Here is a 13595-nt window from a genome sequence, read left to right on the forward strand (position 1 = left end):
TGTCTCCTACAGCTGCTGGCTGGTGTGGCGTCCAAGCCTTGGCGCCTTCTACATCCCTGTGGCTTTGATTCTGCTCATCACCTGGATCTATTTCCTGTGCGCCGGGCTACGCTTACGGGGTCCTCTGGCACAGAACCCCAAGGCGGGCAACAGCAGGGCCTCCCTGGAGGCAGGGGAGGAGCTGAGGGGTTCCACCAGGCTCAGGGGCAGCGGCCCCCTCCTGAGTGACTCAGGTTCCCTTCTTGCTACTGGGAGCGCGCGAGTGGGGACGCCCGGGCCCCCGGAGGATGGTGACAGCCTCTATTCTCCGGGAGTCCAGCTAGGGGCGCTGGTGACCACGCACTTCCTGTACTTGGCCATGTGGGCCTGCGGGGCTCTGGCAGTGTCCCAGCGCTGGCTGCCCCGGGTGGTGTGCAGCTGCTTGTACGGGGTGGCAGCCTCCGCCCTGGGCCTCTTCGTCTTCACTCACCACTGTGCCAGGCGGAGGGACGTGAGAGCCTCGTGGCGCGCCTGCTGCCCCCCTGCCTCTCCCGCGGCCCCCCATGCCCCGCCCCGGGCCCTGCCCGCCGCCGCAGAGGACGGTTCCCCGGTGTTCGGGGAGGGCCCCCCCTCCCTCAAGTCCTCCCCAAGCGGCAGCAGCGGCCATCCGCTGGCTCTGGGCCCCTGCAAGCTCACCAACCTGCAGCTGGCCCAGAGTCAGGTGTGCGAGGCGGGGGCGGCGGCCGGCGGGGAAGGAGAGCCGGAGCCGGCGGGCACCCGGGGAAACCTCGCCCACCGCCACCCCAACAACGTGCACCACGGGCGTCGGGCGCACAAGAGCCGGGCCAAGGGACACCGCGCGGGGGAGGCCTGCGGCAAGAACCGGCTCAAGGCCCTGCGCGGGGGCGCGGCGGGGGCGCTGGAGCTGCTGTCCAGCGAGAGCGGCAGTCTGCACAACAGCCCCACCGACAGCTACCTGGGCAGCAGCCGCAACAGCCCGGGCGCCGGCCTGCAGCTGGAAGGCGAGCCCATGCTCACGCCGTCCGAGGGCAGCGACACCAGCGCCGCGCCGCTTTCTGAGGCGGGCCGGGCAGGCCAGCGCCGCAGCGCCAGCCGCGACAGTCTCAAGGGCGGCGGCGCGCTGGAGAAGGAGAGCCATCGCCGCTCGTACCCGCTCAACGCCGCCAGCCTAAACGGCGCCCCCAAGGGGGGCAAGTACGACGACGTCACCCTGATGGGCGCGGAGGTAGCCAGCGGCGGCTGCATGAAGACCGGACTCTGGAAGAGCGAAACTACCGTCTAAGGTGGGGCGGGCGACGCGGTAGACGGGCTGGCCACGCGGCTCGTTCCCCCGCTCCTCGGGGCCCTCCAAGGTGTCTCCGTAGTCAGCAGGTTGGAGGCAGAGGAGCCGATGGCTGGAGGAAGCCCACAGGCGGATGTTCCCCACTTGCCTAGAGGGCATCCCTCTGGGGTAGCGACAGACAATCCCAGAAACACGCATAATACATTTCCGTCCAGCCCGGGGCAGTCTGACTGTCGGTGCCCTCCCAGGAACGGGGAAGGCCTCCGTCTGTGTGAAAGGGCACAGCACATCCCAGGTGCACCCTCCCCAAGTACTCCCACCCCGCCTACTGTCCATGCGGCCTCACTGGGGGCCATCAGCCTCACCAGCAAAGCAGAGATGAGAGCGTGGGAACTGTGTTCTTTCCTCCCTGCCCTCTACTGATTTCAGCCCAGCCCCTGCCTAGATCCTAGGTCCCTTTTCCTCCCGAGTTTGGCTGGCACGAGAGCTAGCCCAGCACATGAAGCAGGTGATGTTAAGTCACAAGGTGCTGCTTTTCAGATCCACTATGCAAGAGGGGAGGGTGGGGCCACGTGAAAGGCAGCTCTAGACATCAACCAGTCCTGGGGGAGGGGAGTGGGAACCGGGCACAACTAGGAACAATGCCACCATTCCCACAGGAGTGGTACTTAAACCAGACAGCAGGGTTCAGAGGTGGCACACCGGGACAAAGCTGAGGCCCTGCACCTCAACAGCTGACTGCCAGGTGCCTGTGGGTGAACTGAGGGGAGTAGAGGGAGAGGGCAGGTGGAACTGGGGCAGAATCTAGTCATGCCCTAAAGCTAGTCCTGTAAACAATGGTGCCCCAGAAAGCTGCAGGTGGTGTTTGGAGAAGCAGTTACTTTTCAGTTACAAGACCCATCTCCCTAGTCTCAGCCTTACAACACCACGGGACTAAGGAAGAGCACTTCCTTGCCTCCGTAAGGCCAGAGGAAGAACCATCCCAATCATTTGATCTCCAGCTCCACAGTAGAGAGAAACCTACAAAATGTCAAACCAGCTTCCCGACTCCCAGGAGCTCAAGCCAAGCCCAGAGGCAGTGGCTGGGGTCCCTGCAGGTCATGAGGGGCCTATGCCTTTACTCCTTTTAAACACCAGCACCCGTCTTTTCCCCAACCTAAAACCAACCACCAGCATTTCACTACAGGACCAAATGGAAACCGAGGGAACCCTGGGTCTTGGGAAGAACAACAGGAAACCAAGGTCTGACCTAGGGTTCCCTCCCAGTCTTCACATCACTCTGGCCTCATCACCAAGGTGACAGAGGACACAGGGGAGGGGGAAAACCCACACACACTCCTTGGAATGGGTCCTGTTATTTATGCTTGCTGCACAGACATATTAGAAGAAAAAAAAAAGCTTTGTATTATTCTTCCACATATGCTGGCTGCTGTTTACACACCCTGCCAATGCCTTAGCACTGGAGAGCTTTTTGCAATATGCTGGGGAAAGGGGAGGGAGGGAATGAAAGTGCCAAAGAAAACATGTTTTTAAGAACTCGGGTTTTATACAATAGAATGTTTTCTAGCAGATGCCTCTTGTTTTAATATATTAAAATTTTGCAAAGCCCTTTGAGCTACTGCCTTAGTCTACCCACTGTCCTTTTGTTATGAGGTAGAGGATCTCATGACACCATACACACAAACCCATCATTGCCTGTGAATGCACGTAGGGCCAGAATTCCCCAGTTCCCGCTCCTCTGAGGGTTGATACTGCTGGGAATGCCAACCACTCCACAAGCAGAGGGAAGCCCCCTCAGGCCTGCAGGAGGAGCCGCAGCAGTGTGTCCAATTCAAACCAGCAGCAAAGAGCCTGACATTTTCCCATCCATCTATGAGGAAAGCCATCTCACAGAACATGGACATAGGCAACTTGCTCTCCCACACCAAGGGATGGGAATCTCTCCTACCTATAGTCATCCCTGCACTCCTGACTTTACTCCAGGACCCAGGGTCCAACTAATGGCAGAGCCCCTCTTGGTTCCTTCAAACAAGAAAAGCAATACCTACGGACTGGTGTACACTTCCATCCTTGGTTATAACAGGAATGTTATCAAGCTGTCAGAACAGGATGAAGTGCTCCCAGTGGATATCCATCAGGGAGGGTTAGGGACACTCGTGGCAGCCTGTCTAGCAGCCTGGGCTCTCTGAAAGTCCCTAACTTCCTGAGGGGTACGCAAATACTGTTCTATTTCACTATCAGAAATGTTCTCATCTCCAGTGACAGTGGAGACAGGGGGTACAGGGCAGATCCGCTTCGGGGACTTCAACATGCAGGGTGGCAAGAGAAGGGCAGGACTGGCCGGCCGCTTCCCCTGGGGTAAACCTAAGGAATTATTTCCCACCTCCCCTTCTCCTTGCCCCTGTCCCCACCCCGGTGGCTCCTTCTCTCGGGTCTCCACTTCTGCTGTCCCATCCCGAAAGGCAGAGCGGACCAGTGACTGGCGGTGCTGGAGAAGGTCACCGATGTGCTTCACCACAGACCGTTTGTCAAGTCTCAGAACTCGTAACCAGGCCAGCTGCTCAGCCATCCGCAGCAGCACAGCCAGCAGCTCCTGCAGGCGGGAGGACGCCGGGTAGGGCAGGTCCACATTTGCCAATTTACAAAATCGGGCAAGGGAACATGAAAGCCGATCTGCAGGCTGCAGCGACTGCCAAGCCAGGAAAGTCGCAGCAGTGATGACGGGCAAGGGATGCCTCCCGGTCACCAGCCACGTCTCATTTGCCAGCTCCACCAACTGCATTGTTCGAGACAGCATCTTCTCTTTGTCTTCCACGTATTTGGCTGGCACAGAAGGTGAAGCTTGGAACAGTTTGAAGCTGAAATAACCAAAATGAGGGTTGGATCTTAATGATATAGGGGCTGCTCTCCCACAGTGAGGAAAGACAGCCCACTCAAGATGGGGAAGCTATTCTGCCCTCAGGAATACTCAAGCTCACTGGGCAGCAAGTTAATAAAGGTAGTGAGAGAAAACAGGGCGTCTTCCGCTTGTTAGGGGAAGGTGGAGGGATGGAGGAGAGCACGAACATTTATTGGGCGCCTCCCAATCACCATTATTCTGAGTGCTTTACAACGTTCTCATTTAATCTACGTGCACGTGCACCATCTTATGTGCATGTATAGTTAAAAAACTTTCCCATAGTCATCCAGCCAGGCAGTAACCAAGCTTCAAATACAAGGCTATTTGACACCAACAGCCTCTACTTTCAACGTTATTTATCAGAAAAAAGAAAAGAACATAGCTACTTCAAATGAGAAAAGAGCCAGGCGCAGTGCTCACGCCTGTAATACCTGCATTTTGGGAGGATCAGGTGGGCAGATCGCTTGAGCCCATGAGTTCCAGGCTGCAGTGAGCTATGATGGTGCCACTGCACTCCAGGCTGGGTGAAAGAGACCCTGTCTTTAAAAAAACTAGAAAAGACTTAGCTTCTAAGCCCAGTTATGTCATTAACTAATATACTTTCAGCTTCCTCTGCAGATGATCCTGCTGAGACAGAGCTGGGCATTCAGCCACAAAGCCCATGGCACAGCACAACTCTAGGAACTGCCATGCACAGAGCACAAAACATGAGTGGTGCAACTCAGCAGCCCTGTGCCAAGACTCAGACCTATTTTCCCCAAGTCATTAGGTTGCTGTGAAGGCAAAGGGGTTTGAAAATTATAGCATTCTTTGGCGGGGTGCAGTGGCTCACACTTGTAATCCCAGCACTTTGGGAGGCTGAGGTGGGTAGAACGCTTGAGTCCAGGAGTTCAAGACCAGCCTGGGCAACATGGCGAAACCCCATCTCTACTAAAAACAAAAAATTAGCCAGGCATGGTGGCATGCACCTGTAGTCCCAGCTACTTGGGAGGCTGAGGCACAAAAATCACTTGAACCCGGGAGGTGGAGGTTGCCGTGAGCCGAAATCATGCCACTGCTCTCCAGCCTGGGCAACACAGCAAGACTCGGTCTCAAAAAAAAGAAAATTATAGCATTCTAAAAATGTAAAACAATATTAACCTTATGAGTACAAGTTTAAACTAAAGATCTTTCTCCCACATCCTTTTACATGGGCTTTGGTAAAAAAGAGATGGCCAAGGCCGGGTGCGGTGGCTCACGCCTGTAATCCCAGAACTTTGGGAGGCCGAGGCAGGCGGATCACCTGAGGTCAGGAGTTCGAGATCAGCCTGGTCAACATGGTGAAACCCTGTCTCTACTAAAAATGCAAAGAAAAACAAAAAAATTAGCCAGGCATGGTGGCAGGCACCTGTAATCCCAGCTACTCTGGAGGCTGAGGCAGGAGAATAGCTTGAACCCCGGAGGCGGAGGTTGCAGTGAGCTGAGATCGTGCCACTGCACTCCAGCCTGGGTGATAAGAGCAAGACTCCAAGAAAAAAAAAAAGAGATGGCCAAAGGTCAAAGGATTCAGGTCTAAGGACCCATCCCATCCCATCCTACTGTCTCCCACCAGGGACGTACCTGCTGCAATAGGTCTTCACCAGTTCTGCCAAGCACAGAGATGGCACATCCAGTCCCAGGAGCTTCACTATCTGCATGTAAGTGCTAGAAAACACATCCAAATCTGCATACAACAGCGTGCAGATGGCCCCCATTGTTAGGGGCCAGTTATGCTGTCGGCAGGTGATTAAGACGCAGCACCCAACCAACACCTCCTTCTTTTGCAGCCTGGCCGCTCGGATGCCAGAGTGCCGATATGCCTGTTGGTAGTAGGCAACCGCGGTATCCTCAAATGTTGGTGGCAACTGCAGAACTCGACAAAGGTCTCTCACTCGCCGGAGACCTAGGAAAAACCCACGGCAAGAGTTAGAGGGGTCAAAGGAGCTATCGTGCAACTCCTAGAAAATTCTGCTAGGACTTACTTAGATCTGCTAAACTTGCCTCAGATATCAGATGCACAAATTATGTACCTTTCTGCATAGACAGGAGTGACACTTGGTATAGTCATTCTAAAGACACAAAAACATTTGTGTAAAGAAGTCACATTTCAGCCCACTAGTTTTTGCAGGCTGGTTTGATTCAGGGCCAAGCCCAAGTTTTATCCAGGCTCTTAGAGGCTACCTCAAACATACGTCTGATCAAACCCAAACCTTATACTGAATTGCTGCCTCTCTCAGAACCATCCCTATTTGTTTTATTTATTTTATTATTTTCTGAGACAGAGTCTGGCTCAGTTGCCCAGGCTGAAGTGCAGTGGCGCCATCTTGGCTCACTGAAACCTCCTCCTTCCAGGTTTAAGTGATTCTCCTGCCTCAGCCTCCCGAGTAGCTGGGATTACAGGTGTGCACCACCAGGCCCAGCTAATTTTTGTATTTTTAGTAGAGACGGGGTTTCACCATGTTGGCCAGGCTGGTCTTGAACTCCTGACCTCAAGCGATCTGCCCGTCTCGGCCTCCCAAAGTCTGGGATTACAGGTGTGAGCCACCATCCCCATTTTAAATTCCTAATTACCATTCTCTTCTACTCTACCTCACACCAGCAATGCTGAAAATAGGAAAAGTGAAAAGCTGGGCTAGGCCACCAGGATAGTTTTCTTTTATTATTATTATTATTATTATTATTATTATTATTTTTTGAGACAGAGTCTCGCTCTGTCACCCAGGCCGGAGTGCTGTGGTGCGATCTCGGCTCACTGCAAGCTCCGCCTCCCGGGTTCACGCCATTCTCCTGCCTCAGCCTCCCGAGTAGCTGGGACTACAGGCACCCACCATCACGCCCGGCTAATTTTTTTGTATTTTTAGTAGAGATGGGGTTTCATCGTGTTAACCAGGATGGTCTCAATCTCCTGACCTCGTGATCCGCCCGCCTCGGCCTCCCAAAGTGCTGGGATTACAGGCATGAGCCACCGCGCCCGGCTCATTATTATTTTTTTGAGATGGAGTCTCACTCTGTCACCCAGGCTGGAGTGCAGTGGCGCGATCTCAGCTCACTGCAACCTCCACCTCCCAGGTTCAAGCGATTCTCCTGCCTCAGCCTGCCAAGTAGCTGGGACTACAGGTACATGCCACCATGCCCAGCTAATTTTTGTATTTTTAGTAGAGACGGGGTTTCGCTATGTTTGCCAGGCTGGTCTTGAACTCCTGACCTCAGGTGATCCACCTGCCTAGGCCTCCCAAAGTGCTGGGATTACAGGCGTGAGCCACAGCACCTGGCCTAGGATAGTTTTCTTTAAAGCCACTGTGTTGTAAAAGGTCAATTCTCACCTCGTTGCTGGCTGCGACTAACTTGTTCGTTTTCCCCTGTGCTTCGGGAATATGTTACCTCTGTAAGATAATAAACAACAAATAGTGTGCTTAGCCTTTATTCATCAGACCCCTGCCCTCCCACCACACAAAACCAGGACGCAAAATTCAAATCATTGAGCATCTGCTGCTGCACAGTTAAAGGCCCCATCTGGTTTTCTATGTCTACAAGAGGTTCCGAATACACAGAGACTGGGAAAGGTTAGGACTGCATTAAAGCAGCTCCAAGTGTTCCAAATTTCCAGTCATCCTTCCAGTACATTCCATACAGGCAATTTTCCTAGCAGCAGATTTTGTTGTTGTTTGTTTAAGGAGTTTCCCTCTATAGTCCAGGCTGGAGCACAGTGGTGCGATCACAGCTCACGGCAGCCTTCAACTTCCAGGCTCAAGCAATCCTCCTACCTCAGATTCCTGGGTAGCTGGGATTACAGGTGTATGCCACCATACCTGGCTAATTAAAAAAAAATTTTTTTAGGCACTTGTCTCGTTACGTTACCAAGGCTGGTCTCGAGATCCTGGGCTCAAGCAATCCTCTCGGCTCTGCCTCCCAAAGCACTGGGATTACAGGCGTAAGCCACCCCACCCAGACAATGGCTGCAGATTTTGAGGGCTGCACTGGTCAGAAACTTGGAAAGCAAAGAAAAGTGATGTTTTGCCAGTTTGTGCTTAAAACTATTTCAGGGTAATAATACCTGCTATAATCGTATCGGCAATCCTTCCACAATGACCAGACATGGCAAGATGAGTGGAACTTTTGTTTCTGTCTCACTTATTCAATATTTATTACACGCACCATCTATGCCCGATACTAAGTGCTGGGAAAACACAGATGAATGGCAGCCCCCATCTCCTTCAGCTCCCTCGCTCACTTTAGGTCATTTTCTCTCAAATTAAGTGTGTGCGTTACAGTTAGGAGTATGGGGGGAGCGGGGAGGCAAAAGGAATCTGATGTTAATCCCTCCACCGCCCCAGGCTGTCCCCAGGGCCACAAGTACCTCGGAGATTGCCCTCGTCGCTGAAGGTAGTGGTAAGGACCCCCTCGGTGACCACGCAGCCGCAGTCGGAGCACACCAGCTGGCTCTGCGAATAGTGCGAGTCTTCCACCAGCTCCGTGGAGCCGCAGTCCGGGCAGCGGCCTCTGCCTGGCATCTCACAACCGGCCCCAAAGCCGCGGAAGCCTTCAGAGACTCCTGGGTCTGCAACAGCAACCGTGAGGCAGCAAGAAGTAGGAGGGGACACTTCAAAGGGTTGCACCCCCGTCTTCCGGCCAGCGCGACGGAGGCATAGGCGGTTCCCTCCGCTGGGAGGCTGCGCGCCACTTCCGGTCTGTGCCTCCGCGGGCTCGGGTAGAAACGTGAGCTAGGAGAGGAGGTTCCTGGGCTGAACTGTAGCTGTCTGGTTTCCCTGCACTCTGTAGTTAGTTTTTGGGACCTAGACTGGGGTTGAATTTGGGAAAGTTTTTGCCTACATGGACACGTATAACAGACAGAAGATTGTTGTCACCCCTGAACAACCCTCCTTTTAAAGTCCTAAGGGAATCGCAGGTTGGTAATGAATGTTTAATTGGCCATAGAAGAAAGTATATTTTTTAAAGGGAGAGTAGTGGAGAGAGAGCGGGAGCAGGAAACTGTGTTCTGCTTTCCAGAGCTGCTTCCTAAAGCAGATTCCTTCCTCTCTTTACCTCCTGTTTTTCTCAACTGTAAAATGAGGAAGTTGAAAAAAAAATCCAGAGATGCAAACCCAAACGCTTTTGGAGGCCAGGCAGGAATGTCTAAAGGAGTTTGGAGTGAAAGAATATGGAGTGATGGAGACCTGGAGCGGCGCAAGCACGCAGATTCAGATGTTTTTTAAAAAACCTTGAGCTATCTGGGCGTGGTGGCTCACGCCTGTAATCCCAGCACTTTGGAAGGCCGAGGCAGGTGGATCACCTGAGCTCGGGAGTTTGAGACCAGCCTGGGCAACATGGTGAAATCCCGTCTCTACTAAAAATACACAAAAATTAGCTGGGCGTGGTGGTGCACGTCTCTAATCCCAGCTACTCAGGAGGCTGAGGCAGGAGAATCGCTTGAACCCAGGAGGCGCAGGAGGCGCAGTGAGCCAAGATCGCGCCACTGCACTCCAGCCTGGGTGGCAGAGCGAGACTCCATCTCAAACAAAATAAAACATACCTTTAAGAAGTGTCACTCCCTTCTTTTCCACACCCAGTTTTTACACGTGATATCCAAACCTAAAGACACCATCCCTTCCCTAAGAGACTGCTTTCTCAGAGTGTGAGAATCACTACTCCTTTTCAGAGACATCCCGTCCATTCCCATGGGGATCGCTCACATTGGAGGGCCAAGAGACACAATAATACCCAACGGTCCTTTCTCTTCAATTTGAATTACTTTAGTATCATAACAGAAGGGGGCTTCAGCACATTAATCGTGGGTGGGATCCGGCAGTCCAAGCCCCCCCGCCTTTTCTAGACCTCCCCACTAGCGTGAGATACAGGATGAGAGCTTATTTCTGGCTGTCTGACAGTTAAATATTAAGATACATTTGCACATGCGCACCCGCACACACACACCACTCAGAGACATCCATTAGTTTTAGTGTGGTTGACATTCTTATTTGGATGAAGAAAGTGTCCCTGAAAGCGACATAACTTGCACTGGGAACAGTTCCTTGCATGATCACACAGCAGAGCATCAGACTCCCCTCATCCCCAGTTGTGTGCAGATCTTGAACCTACCTTCACTTTTTTTTTAAGCGGGACTTTACAGAGCCCATCTACCTAGGACAGAAGCCTTGAAATCCTGCCTGACCCAACCTGATTGATTGTAAAGTGGAAAAGCAGTTTTATGATCCTGCAGCCAGCCACGGAAGGAGAAAGCTGGTTGTCTTTCCCAGTCACACATGATGTACTTACTGGGAGCCTAGGAGAGCCTGGTCCTCGGGCACACACAGGCTGGGAGGGGGCAGGGTCCAGGCCAGAAGATGGCGCCCTCTACTAAGATGTGTAAGTTTGGGGTTCTCCACTTTCTCAGGAAGAAGTCCATTTATTTGGGAAATGTATTTGCCTTGCTCCAGGAAATCTGGACAGACGTGGAAATCATCTTGGTGCCCTCTCCACTGCTCCCAGTTCTTCTAAGAGTTATCATTCCTGGTAGTGATTATCTTATTTTTTAATTTTATTTATTTATTTATTTTGAGAGGAGTCTCACTCTGTCGCCCAGGCTGAAGTGCAGTGGCACAGTCTCAGCTCACTGCAGCCTCCACTTCCCGGGTTCAAGCAATTCTTCTGCCTCAGCCTCCCAAGTAGCTAGGACCACACGCGCCCACCACCATGCCTGGCTAGTTTTTGTATTTTTAGTAGAGATGGGATTTCACCGTGTTGGCCAGGCTGGTCTCAAACTTCTGACCTCAGGTGATCTGCCCACCTCGGCCTCCCAAAGTGCTGGGATTACAGGCATGAGCCACCATGCCTGGCAGTGATTATCTTTTTAACAGATGCCCCGAGTGCCCAGGGTGGGCTTGGCCAGAGCAGAAAGCTAGTCATGGGGAGGCCATTGAACAGCAGCCCAGCTGTGGTCCAGATGTATAATGCTGACATTGAGGCCAGAGTTCTTTGTAGAGGGGAGAGTAGAGGAAGGCACTGAGGAAGAGGAGGATCTGGCACCTGAATGCAGTCCTCTTCCTCCCTCGATTGGCTGTGTACATTCTAGTTCGTTGTTTGACTTTCTCTTTGAATGGAAGTCTCTATGGGAACAAGCTGGCTTTCTCATCCTTGTGTCCCCAGGAGTACCTCCTAAAGTGAGGGCTGGCATTCAGTAAAGAGGAGTTCAACTCCCGTGAATTCCTGTCCTAGGTGGGCCTATCCAAAGCACCAAATGGGCCAGGCACGTGGCTCATGACTGTAACCCTAACACTTTGGGAGTCTGATGTGGGAAGACAGCTTGAGGCCAGGAGTTCGAGACTGTCCTGGGCAACATAGTGAGACCGCAGCCCCTCTCAAAACAAATAGCAGGGTATAGTGGTGTGCACTTGTAGTCCCAGCTACTTGGGAGGCTAAGGCAGGAGGATCACCTGAGCCCAGGAGTTAAAAGGTTGCCATGAGCTATGATTGCACCACTGCACTCCAGCCTGGGTAACAGAGTGAGACCCTGACTCAAAAAAAAAAAAAGGATGAAGAAGAAGGAGCACCACATAGACCCAGTTCCTCTGAAGCAGACCCATTTCCATCTAGAGCAAGTGACTGCTGAGAGTGGGCTGCTCTCCAGGCCTGCCTTCCAGCCTCAGCCCTGGGCTCCTCTCAGCTTAGCTGATGATGCTTTGCGACCCCGACCCAGTTTCACCGAGCCCTGAGTACAGCTCGCACGGTGGCACTGGGCCTGGCAGTTGCCTCAGATTTGGAGCCTTTCTGACTGGACTTCCTTCCCACCACTCTTTAGTGGGCACTTCCCGATGAGATAGCCTCAGGGCAGAGCATGGCCAGGGCTTCCCAAATCCCCGTGCCAAGCACCTTTCCTCACTCATATGCAGCTTCCCCTCTGCATAGTTTAGTCTGCCCCTCCCAGCCATTTCTCTCTGGGCTAAAGATTCACACGTTCAATTTCTTGAACTCCTAGGAACAAAGGCATCTGGTAACTCCAGGAAGGTGGTCACAGCACAGACCTGGTGCACTGCGTAGTCCAGGGCAACCTGACCTGGAACGCCTCTCTGCTGGGAGGCTGAGGCTCATCTGGCCTTATGGAAAGTCCTGAGAGAGGATTGAGTCATATGGCCTCCATTTTCCTTGCCCGCCCCAATCCTCCGCAATTCCAAGTAAATGATATAATGTTATATTCCTGCCCCTCAAAGCGATCCTAGCCTAGGGGTTGGCAAACTTATTCTTTTCTATTTTTTAAAAATATTTTTAATTAAAAAAATTTTTTTTTGTAGAAACAGGATCTCACTATGTTTCCCAGGCTGGTCTCAGACTCCTGGGCTCAGGCGATCCTCCTGCCTCCGCCTCCCAAAATGCTGGGTTTACAGGCATGGGCCACCACACCCAGCCATCAGACTTACCCGGCCATCATACCTTTTCTATAAAAGGCCAAATAGTAAATATTTTGGGTTTTTGGGACAATAGCTACTCTGTTGCAATTACTCAACTCAGCTGTTGTAATGTGAAAACAGCCATAGACAGTTACGTAAACAAACAAACGGTCATGGCTGTATCCAATAAAGCTTCATCTATGGGTGCTGAAATTCAATTTCATATGATTTTTTGTTTTGTTTTAAAACCAAAGTTTATTCCGGCCAACTTATCGTACTGGTATGATAACAGCTCATAGATCAGAAATGGTCTGTTTTAAACCTTCCTATCCATATTGAACACAATGATGTTGAGGTAAAAGGGGCCCTTTCTTCTTCTTCTTCTTCTTTTTTTTTTTTTTTTTTTTTGAGACAGGGTCTTGCTCTATTGCCCAGGTTGGAGTGCAGTGGTACCATCTCGGCTCACTGCAACCTCCATCTCCTGGGTTCGAGCAATTCTCATGCCTCAGCCTCTTGAGTAGCTGGGATTACAGGTGTGTGCCGCCACACCCAGCTAATTTTTGTATTTTTAGTGGAGACAGGGTTTCACCATCTTGGCCAGGCTGGTCTCGAACTTCTGACTTCAGGTGATCCACCCACCTCGGTCTCCCAAAGTGCTGGGCTTATAGGCATGAGCCACTGCACCCAGCTGAGAGACCCTTTCTCTAAATGAAAATACAATACTTATCCTATGTACTTCTGGAGGGTCCAGAGATGTGGAAGTCATGTATTCGTAAGAATCGTATTAAACAATCTTTATTTGAAAAATAGTACCAATAGTACCATACAATCCTAATGCTATCTAACTTTAATAAGAGCAATTTCAGCATCAACTAGTGAACAGTAGCTAAACTAACAGAAATCAGTCAGAAGTGCTTTAACAGGAGCAGCACTGGCTGACATTCTGCTGGGTCTCTAGGTATTCAGGACCCAGGGAAAACAGAATCAAACCGGCAGGGGTGAGAGCTGAGAGCCG

General features: G+C 52.0%; 2 protein-coding genes across 5 annotated transcripts in view, besides 3 other annotated features; one reads left to right on the forward strand and one right to left on the reverse strand.

Moving 5' to 3' along the window:
* Positions 1–3823, forward strand: part of ADGRA2 (adhesion G protein-coupled receptor A2) — a 48014-nt gene extending 44191 nt beyond the window's left edge. For all 4 annotated transcript variants that reach the window (XM_011544481.3, NM_032777.10, XM_011544483.3 and 1 more), the window contains one exon: positions 13–3823. In XM_011544481.3, coding sequence (XP_011542783.1) covers positions 13–1282 — 1270 coding nt within the window. In that variant the 3' untranslated portion in view covers positions 1283–3823. The remainder of the gene's footprint in view (positions 1–12) is intronic.
* Positions 637–1337: an enhancer, noted in NCBI's record as "H3K27ac-H3K4me1 hESC enhancer chr8:37699228-37699928 (GRCh37/hg19 assembly coordinates)". NCBI's record gives its function as "activates a minimal SCP1, AML or CMV promoter by ChIP-STARR-seq in naive H9 embryonic stem cells {active_cell/tissue: H9 hESC(naive)}" and the evidence as "EXISTENCE:reporter gene assay evidence [ECO:0000049][PMID:30033119]".
* Positions 2195–8788, reverse strand: BRF2 (BRF2 general transcription factor IIIB subunit). Its single transcript, NM_018310.4, has 4 exons — positions 8557–8788; positions 7523–7582; positions 5781–6102; positions 2195–4140 (listed from the first exon to the last, which is right to left on the reverse strand). Exons 1-4 carry the CDS (start codon positions 8708–8710, stop codon positions 3417–3419), a joined length of 1260 nt encoding a protein of 419 aa, NP_060780.2. The 5' UTR covers positions 8711–8788; the 3' UTR covers positions 2195–3416.
* Positions 8464–8603: an enhancer, noted in NCBI's record as "active region_27234". NCBI's record gives its function as "activates an Ori minimal core promoter by ATAC-STARR-seq in GM12878 lymphoblastoid cells {active_cell/tissue: GM12878}" and the evidence as "EXISTENCE:reporter gene assay evidence [ECO:0000049][PMID:35858748]".
* Positions 8644–8993: an enhancer, noted in NCBI's record as "active region_27235". NCBI's record gives its function as "activates an Ori minimal core promoter by ATAC-STARR-seq in GM12878 lymphoblastoid cells {active_cell/tissue: GM12878}" and the evidence as "EXISTENCE:reporter gene assay evidence [ECO:0000049][PMID:35858748]".

The sequence above is a fragment of the Homo sapiens genome, chromosome 8 (genome assembly GCF_000001405.40).
Source record: "Homo sapiens chromosome 8, GRCh38.p14 Primary Assembly".
NCBI classification, from domain to species: domain Eukaryota; kingdom Metazoa; phylum Chordata; class Mammalia; order Primates; family Hominidae; genus Homo; species Homo sapiens.